Source organism: Homo sapiens, chromosome 17, assembly GCF_000001405.40.
Source record: "Homo sapiens chromosome 17, GRCh38.p14 Primary Assembly".
In the NCBI taxonomy this organism is placed as follows: Eukaryota; Metazoa; Chordata; class Mammalia; order Primates; family Hominidae; genus Homo; species Homo sapiens.
In genome coordinates, this window is record NC_000017.11 from 4,398,068 (window position 1) to 4,407,230 (window position 9,163).

The following is a 9,163-nucleotide window of genomic DNA, read 5'->3' on the forward strand; positions in this document are numbered from 1 at the left end:
CCAGGAAACTGTTAAAGGAACCTTGGGGGATCTTTCAGAAATATTTAAAAAAAAGATGAGGCTGTGGATATGCCTCCCCACCCCTACCCTCTAGTTTCTTCATTGAAAATTTTAGTTTTTTTTCCTTGCCCAATTTTCTCTTGTGAGTGGCTCTCTCTAAAATTGTAGTTCTGGATGGGCAGGTGGCTCACGCCTGTAATCCCAGCACTTTGGGAGGCTGAGGCGGGTGGATCACTTGAGGTCAGGAGTTCAAGACCAGCCTGGCCCACATGGTGAAACCCCATCTCTACTAAAATACAAAAATTAGCTGGGTATGGTGGCTGGTGCCTGTAATCCCAGCTACTCGGGAGGCTGAGGCAGGAAAATCGCTTGAACCGGAGAGGTGAAGGTTGCAGTGAGCCAAGATTGCATCACTGCACTCCAGCCTGGGCAACAAGAGCAGACACTCCATCTCAAAATAAATAAATAAAATAATAATAATAATCATCAAAGTGTAGGTATGTGTCAGAGGTGGTGGGAAGAGAGGACGTGAGAAGATGTACTTATATGACCACAGATTAAAATTTTTTATTTCAAATTTGCTGCAAAGGGAGATAATGTTGGAAAAATCCAGTTCAGAGATTCCCACTGGATAGAAACATTTGATATGAAAAAAATATATTAGATAATCATTGTCAAACAGGATTTTTAAAATCTAAGTAAAGATCATTAGACTGTTTGCAAAATGGAAAGCTGGTTGTATAACTGCCCAAGGGGATCACCTTGCCCGCTGCCTAGACAGCCGATTCATCAAGACAGGGGAATTGCAACGGAGAAAGAGTAATTCACGCAAAGCTGGCTGTGCAAAGACCAGAGTTTTTTGTTTGTTTGTTTGTTTTTGTGACATAGTTTTTGCTCTTATTGCCCAGGCTGGAGTGCAATGGTGCAATCTCAGCTTACTGCAACCTCCACCTCCCGGGTTCAAGTGATTCTCCTGCCTCAGCCCTCCCGAGTAGCTGGGATTACAGACGTGCATCACCATGCTCGGCTAATTTTTTTTTTATTTTTAGTAGAGACAGGGTTTCACCATGTTGGTCAGGCCTGTCTCGAACTCCTGACCACAAGTGATCCACCCAATTCGGCCTCCCAAAGTGCTGGGACTACAGGCGTGAGCCACTGTGCCCAGCCTGTTTGCAGCAGTTTTGTTTAATAGCTCTAAACTGGAAATAGGATAATTGATAAATAAATTGTAGTATATTTGCTATGGTCTGAGTGTGTTCCCCAAAATTCATGAATTGGAAACTTTTTTGTTTTTGTTTTTGAGATGGAGTTTTACTCTTGTCATCCAGGCTAGAGTGCAATGGTGTGATCTTGGCTCACTGCAACCTCTGCCTCCCGGGTTCAAGAGATTCTCCTGTCTCAGCCTCCCAAGTAGCTGGGATTATAGGTGCCTGCCACCATGCCTGGCTAATTTTTGTATTTTTAGTACAGACAGGGTTTCACCATGTTGGCTAGGCTGGTCTTGAACTCCTGACCTCATGTGATCTGCCCACCTCGGCCTCCCAAAGTGTTGGGATTACAGGCATGAGCCACCACACCTGGTGAATTGGAAACTTAATCCTCAATGCAACAGTGTTGGGAGGTAGGGCCTAGTGGGAGGTGTTTAGGTCATGAGAGCTCTGCCCTCATGAATACATAAATGCTGCCATTAAAAGGGCTCACAGAAGTGGGTTCTGTCCTTTCACTCTTCTGACATGTGAGAACACAGCATTTGTCCCTGCTTGACTTCTGCTTTCTGCCATGTGAAGACACAGCAAGAAGGCCCACACCAGATGCCACCACCTTAATCTTGGACTTCCCAGCCTCCAGAACTATGAGAAATAAATTTCTGTTTCTTATAAATTATCCAGTCTCAGGCATTCCACTGTAGTAGCACAAACGGACTAAGGCAGTATTTGTATCTAAAAGGCTATCTAGAGCTGGGTGTGGTGGCTCACACCTGTAATCTCAGCACTTTGGGAGGCCAAGGCAGGTGAATCACCTGAGGTCAGGAGTTCGAGACCAGCCTGGCCAACATGGTGAAACCCCATCTTTATAAAAATACAAAAATTAGCCAGGCATGGAGCACACACTTATAATCTCAGCTACTCAGGAGGCTGAGGCAGGAGAATTGCTGGAACCTGGGAGGCGGAGGTTGTAGTGAGCCGACATTGCACCACTGCACTCCAGGCTGGGCGACAGACTGAGACTCTGTCTCAAAAAAAAAAAAAAAAAAAGAGGCTGGGCGAGGTGGCTCATGTCTGTAATCCCAGTACTTTGGGAGGCCAAGGCAGGTGGATCACAAGGTCAGGAGGGTTTTTTTTGTTTTGTTTGTTTGTTTGTTTTTTGAGACGGAGTCTTGCTGTCGCCCAGGCTGGAGTGCAGTGGCGCGATCTCAGCTCACTGCAGGCTCTACCCTCTGGGGTTCACGCCATTCTCCTGCCTCAGCCTCCCGAGTAGCTGGGACTACAGGCGCCTGCCACCTCGCCCGGCTAATTTTTTGTATTTTTAGTAGAGACGGAGTTTCACCGTGTTAGCCAGGATAGGATGGTCTCGATCTCCTGACCTCGCCTCGGCCTCCCAAAGTGCTGGAATTACAGGCGTGAGCCACTGCGCCCGGCCAAGGTCAGGAGTTTTGAGATGTGCCTGGCCAAGATGGTGAAACCCTGTCTCTACTAGAAATACAAAAATTAGCTGGGCATGGTGGCGGGCACCTGTAATCCCAGCTACTCGAGAGGCTGAGGCAGGAGAATTGCTTGAACCCGGGAGGCAGAGGTTGCAGCGAGTGGAGATCTTGCCACTGCACTCTAGCCTGGGTGACAGAGCAAGACTCCGTCTCAAAAAAAAAAAAAAAAGAAAAAATTTTTAAAAAGATCTGAATCAGGTAACAATGTGGATGAATCTCACAGATATCCTTGAGAGAAATACATATACACAGTATGATTAATACAGACGTAGTATGATGCCTTTACATGAAGTTCAAAAAGACGAAAATTTCATTTACGGTGTTACAAGTCAGAAGAGCAGTTACCCGTGGTCTAGGAGACTTTCTGGGATAAAGAGAATCTGTTGTTTTTTTTTTGAGACAGAGTTTCACTCTGTTGCCCAGGCTGGAGTGCAATGGCATGATCTTGGCTCAGCACAACCTCTGTCTCCCAAATTCAAGCGATCCTCCTGCCTCAGCCTCCCAAGTAGCTGAGATTACAGGCTTCCGCCACCAAGCCTGGCTAATTTTTTTTTTGTATTTTTAGGGGTTTCACCATGTTGGCCAGGCTGGTCTTGAACTCCTGACCTCAGGCGATCCACCCGCCTTGGTATCCCACAGTGCTGGGATTACAGGTGTAAGCCACCGCGCTCAGCAAAAGATTCTTTTGTATCTTGATCTGGGTGGCGGTTACACTGTATAGTAGGCTGAATAATGGACTCCAACTATATTGGGTCCTAAACTCTAGAGCAGGGGTCCCCAGTCCCTGGGCCGCGGACCACTAACAGTCCCTGGCCTGTTAGGAACCAGGCCTCACAGCAGTAGGTGGAGTGGTGGGCCAGCAAGCGAAGCTTCATCTGTATTTACAGCTGCTCCCCATCGATCACATTTCTGCCTGAGCTCTGTCTCCTGTCACATCACTGGGGCCATTAGATTCTCATAGTAGCACAAACCCTATTGTGAACCGGGCACGCAAGGGATCTAGGTTGCGCGCTCCTCATGAGAACCTAATGCCTGATGATCTGTCACTGTCTCCCATCACCCCCAGATGGGACCATCTAGATGCAGGAAAACAAGCTTAGGGCTCCCACTGATTCTACATTATGGTGAAGTATAATGATTTCATTATATATTACAATGTCATAATAATACAATTAAAGTACACAATCAATGTAATGTGCTTTAATCTTCCTGAAACCATCCCCCGCATCACCCGTCACCCATCCATGGAAAAATATGTCTTCCACAAAACAGGAACTGGTGCCACAAAGCTTGGGGAGTACTGCTCTAGAGTCTGTCAATGTTACCCTATCTGGGAAAAGGGTCTTTGCAGATGTGATAGCTAAGGATCTTGAGATGGAGAGCTTATCCTGGATGACCCGGATGAATCTAAATGCAATCACAGGTGTCCCATAAGAGAGAGGCAGAGGGAGATTTGAGAAGACAGAAGGAGAGAAGGTAATGTGAAGATGGAGAGAGATTGGAGCGAAGTAGACACAAGCCAAGGACTGCCAGCAGCCAGCAGCTAGAAGAGGCAAGGAAGGGACTCTCCCAGAGCCTTGAAGACAGCATGACCCTGCTGACACCTCCATTTCAGTCCTGCGATACCAACTTCAGACTTCTGCCCCCCAGGAGAGAAAACATTCGAGAGAATACGTTTATGGTTTTGGTTGTTTTTTTCTTTTTTTGAGACCAAGTTTCACTCTTGTTGCCCAGGCTGGAGTGCAATGGCGCGATCTCAGCTCACCAAGCGATTCTCCTGCCTCAGCCTCCATAGCTACCATGCCCGGCTAATTTTGTATTTTTAGTAGAGACGGGGTTTCTCCATGTTGGTTAGGCTGATTTCGAACTCCCATCCTCAGGTGATCCGCCGGCCTCGGCCTCCCAAAGTGCTGGGATGAAAGGCGTGAGCCACTGTGCCCGGCCATGTTTATGTTGTTTTAAGACACCAAGTTTGGGATAGTTTGTTATATCAACCGCAGGAAACTAGTACACACAGGTGCATATATATACAGAAAAATTCACTGAGCTGGGCGTGGTGGCTCGCACCTGGAATCCCAGCACTTTGGGAGGCTGAGGTGGGTGGATCACCAGAGGTCAGGAGCTCGAGACCAGCCTAACCAACATGGTGAAACTTCGTCTCTACTAAAAATACAAAAATTAGCTGGGCGTGGTGGTGGGCGCCTGTAATCACAGCTTCTCAGGAGGCTGAGGCAGGAGAATCACTTGAAACCGGGAGGTGGAGGTTGCAGTGAGCCGAGATCGTGCCATTAGAAAAAAAAAAGAACCAGCTCATTAGCACGGGCTTAGTGCCCAGAGGCCCAAGTTCCTGCAGCACTGGTAGTGGTGAGGCCTCCTCCTCTGGCCACAACCAGGTCATCAAAATTGGGGCTGTCAGGGCAGTTGGGATAGAGGGACACAGCTCCCCAGAATCCTAATCTCCCTGTCCTGCCTCCTGCTCTTAGGATCCCATGTACTTTTCCAGATTTTCGTGGACCCTGTGAAGAGCGTTAAGTCCTCAGGAGAGCTCCTCTTTTTTTTGGTTGTTTGTTTTTTTTGTTTTGTTTTTTGAGACGGAGTGTCACTCTGTCGCCCAGGCTGGAGTGCAGTGGCGCGATCTCGGTTCACTGCAAGCTCCACCTTGTGGGTTCACACCCTTCTCGCCTCAGCCTCCTGAGTAGCTGGCACTACAGGCGGCCGCCAACACGCCCGGCTAATTTTTTGTACTTTATTTTTTATTTATTTATTTTTCTTGAGACGGCGTCTCGCTCTGTCGCCCAGGCTGGAGTACAGTGGGGTGATCTCGGCTCACTGCAAGCTCCGCCTCCTGGGTTCAAGCGATTCTCCTGCCTCAGCTTCCTGAGTAGCTGGGACTACAGGCACCTGCCACCACGCCCAGCTAATTTTTATACTTTTAATAGAGACGGGGTTTCACCATGTTGGCCAGGATGGTCTCGAACTCCTGACCTTGTGATGCACCCGCCTCGGCCTCCCAAAGTGTTGGGATTACAGGCATGAACCACCGCGCCTGGCTTGTACTTTTTTAGTAGTGACGGAGTTTCACTGTGTTAGCCAGGATGGTCTCGATCTCCTAACCTCGTGATCCGCCCGCCTCGGCCTCCCAAAGTGCTGGGATTACAGGCATGAGCCATTGCACCCAGCTGTTTCTGCAGTTCTCTTACTGGTCGGACCGGCTTCTCCTCTTCTGGGGCGAACCCCTCAAGTCTTAACTCCTCAGAGGGGTCAGAGTAAGATTAAATACCAATTGCCCAGGCTTCATCGGCTTTTCTTCCCTGCCTCAGTTTCCCCACTGCCTTACTTGTGTTTCCTTGGATTACCTCCCAAATAAACTATCCACAACCAAGTCCTTGTTTCAGGGTCTACTTTGGGGAAACCCACACTAAATCTAAGTCTCAGACGCTGGGGAGGCCCTGGTTCTGTGTCCACTCCTGAAGCTGGGGTCTGGGGTCAGTTCCCCTCTGCCCTGGGTTTCAAGGCTCCAAGATCTCAGTTTGCTCCAGGTTTCTCCCTACATAGATGTCCCAAGAGCCCTCCAAATATAACATCTCTTGGCCGGGTACGGTGGCTCACGCCTGTAATCCCAGCACTTTAGGAGGCCGAGGCAGGCAGATTATCTGAGGTCAGGAGTTCGAGACTAGCCTGGCCAATGCGGTGAAATCCTGTCTTTACTAAAAATACAAAAATTAGCCAGGCGTGGTGGCACGTGCCTGTAGTTCCAGCTACTTGGGAGGCTGAGGCGGGAGAATTGCTTGAACTTGGGAGGTGGGGGTTGCAGTGAGCCGGGATTGTGCCATTGCACTCCAGCCTGGGCGACAAGAGCTAAATAATGTCTCCAAAAAAAAAAAATACATATATATATATATATTTATATATACATTTATATATATTTATATATATATTTGTATATATTTATATATATTCATATATATTTGTATATATTTATATATGTATATATGTATATATTTATATATATTTATATATTTATTTTTATATATTTATATATTTATATATATAAATGTTTATATTTATTTATAAATGTTTATATATATAAACATTTATATATTTCTATATATAAACATTTATATATTTCTATATATAAACATTTATATATTTCTATATATAAACATTTATATATTTCTATATATAAACATTTGTGTATTTCTATATATAAACATTTGTATATTTTTATATATAAACATTTATATATTTATATATATATATGTAAAACATCTCTTAAACCTAACTCACTGTTTTTCTCTTTAAACATGTTTTCCCCCAGACATCCTTCTTCTGCCCTCACTCACTCCCCGGAGGAGCCACATGTTCCTCTCTCACCTTTGCTCAGCCTGTTCCTCCCTCTTACCTTCTCCAGGAAGGTGGGGATGCTCTGGGCCTCCTGGTTTCTTGGTGAGGGCAAGGAGGGCTCTGCAGCTCCCCCAGTCCCAAGGGGCTGTCAGGACAAGGTCAGCCCAGTAGAGGCAGCTAATCTGGGCTTGGGGAGTTGGGACAGGGGAGCTTACACGCACAGGCTCACACAGTGCATATATACACTGTGTACGTGCCCATCTGCGCATACATGGGTGTCTGCACGCATGTACAGGCACACATGGGTGTGTATAGGCACATACAGCACACAAGAGGATGTGTGTGCACCACGGGCATGCATGATCACTCACAGGTACACATATGTCTAGCTGCAAACAGATCCCCTGGGAGAACTTTGACCAGCCCAGCGATGGGTGTAGTGAGCTGTGCAGGGAGATTGGGGGAGAGAAAAGAGAGGGGAGGAGAGGGGAGGGAATCCAGGAGACAAGGTGGGTGGAGAGGTTGGGTTGCAGTTGGGAATCCCAGGAGCTACACTGGCTTCAGTTCCCTTCCTGGGAACTCAGTGTCTCCCTGGGGCTCTGCCCACCAGCAGAGGCATTTGGGGTCAAGAAAATCAATGCCATTCTTTTTGAGTGATGGGGTCAGCTGGTTGTCGGTGGACACTGGGGTTATGTAGATGCATGTCCATCTACTTGGGCCAGACCACGCCATGGCCTCCCACAGCCTCTGTGCAGTGACCATGCCTGCAGGCAGCGGGGTGGAGGACCCTTCCATTGGTCTCCCGTGTCCCTTCCTGAACCACTGGCTTCACCTTCTGTACTCCCTGCCCAGCGCCTGGCCTGACTCCTACTGATAGCCTGCCCCTGGCTTTGGCTCCCTCCTTGACCATGATTCCCACTCACCCAATAATTAGCTTGTATCCCATTAACCTTGACCAGGCCCAGACCACATCCCAGGAGCTGGTTTCTGGGTTTGTCTAGGACCACTAGTGGGACCCAGGCTGGAAGAAGTTCTCATGCTTATGGGGACAGAATTAGGGAAGGAATTCAGAAAAGCTGAGGCAGAGAGAAGCCATTTATAATTAATAGCTCAGGACAAAACTGCGGGCAGAATTAGACTGAGTTTTGTTTTTTGTTTGTTTGTTTGTTGTTTTGAGATGGAGTTTCGCTCTGTTGCCCAGGTTGGAGTGCAATGGCGCAATCTCGGCTTACTGCAACCTCCGCCTCCCAGATTCAAGCAATTCTCCTGTCTCAGCCTCCAGAGCAGCTGGGATTACAGGCGCCTGTCGGGCTTTTTTTTTGAGACAGAGTCTTGCTCTGTTGCCTGGGCTGGAGTGCAGTGGTGTGATCTCGGCTCACTGCAACCTCCACCTCCGGGTTTAAGCCGACTCTCCTGCCTCAGCCTCCCCAGTAGCTGGGATTACAGGCTGATGCCACCACACCCAGCCCGCGCCGGGCTGTTTTTTTGTAAAGACAGGGTTTTTCCCTGTTGTCCAGGCTGGTCTGGAACTCCTGACTTCAGGCTATCTGCTGGCCTCGGCCTCCCAAAGTGCTGTGATTACAGGAATGAGCCACTGCGCCTGGCCTTTTTGTGTTTTTTGAGACAGGGTCTCTCTATGTTGCTCAGGTTGGGGTGCAGTGGTGCCCTCCTGAGGAGTAGCTGGGACCACACACATGCACCACCACGCCTAATTTTTTTTTTTTTTTGAGACAGAGTCTTGCTCTGTTGCCCAGGCTGGAGTGCAGTGACGTGATCTTGGCTCACTGCAATCTCTGCCTCCTGGGTTCAAGCGATTCTCCTGCCTCAGCCTCCCGAGTAGCTGGGATTACAGGTGCCCACCACCACGCCCGGCTAATTTTTGTATTTTTAGTAGAGACAGGGTTTCACCATGTTGGTCAGGCTGGTCTCGAACTCCTGACCTCAGGTGATCTGCTTCCCTCGGCCTCCCAAAGTGCTGGGATTACAGGCGTGAGCCGCCGCGCCCAGCTTAATTTTTAATTTTTAGAGATGGGGGTCTCATTGTGTTGCCCCGGCGGGTCTCGAATTCTTGGGTTCAAGTGATGTTCCAGCCTCCACCTCCCAAAGTGATGGGAT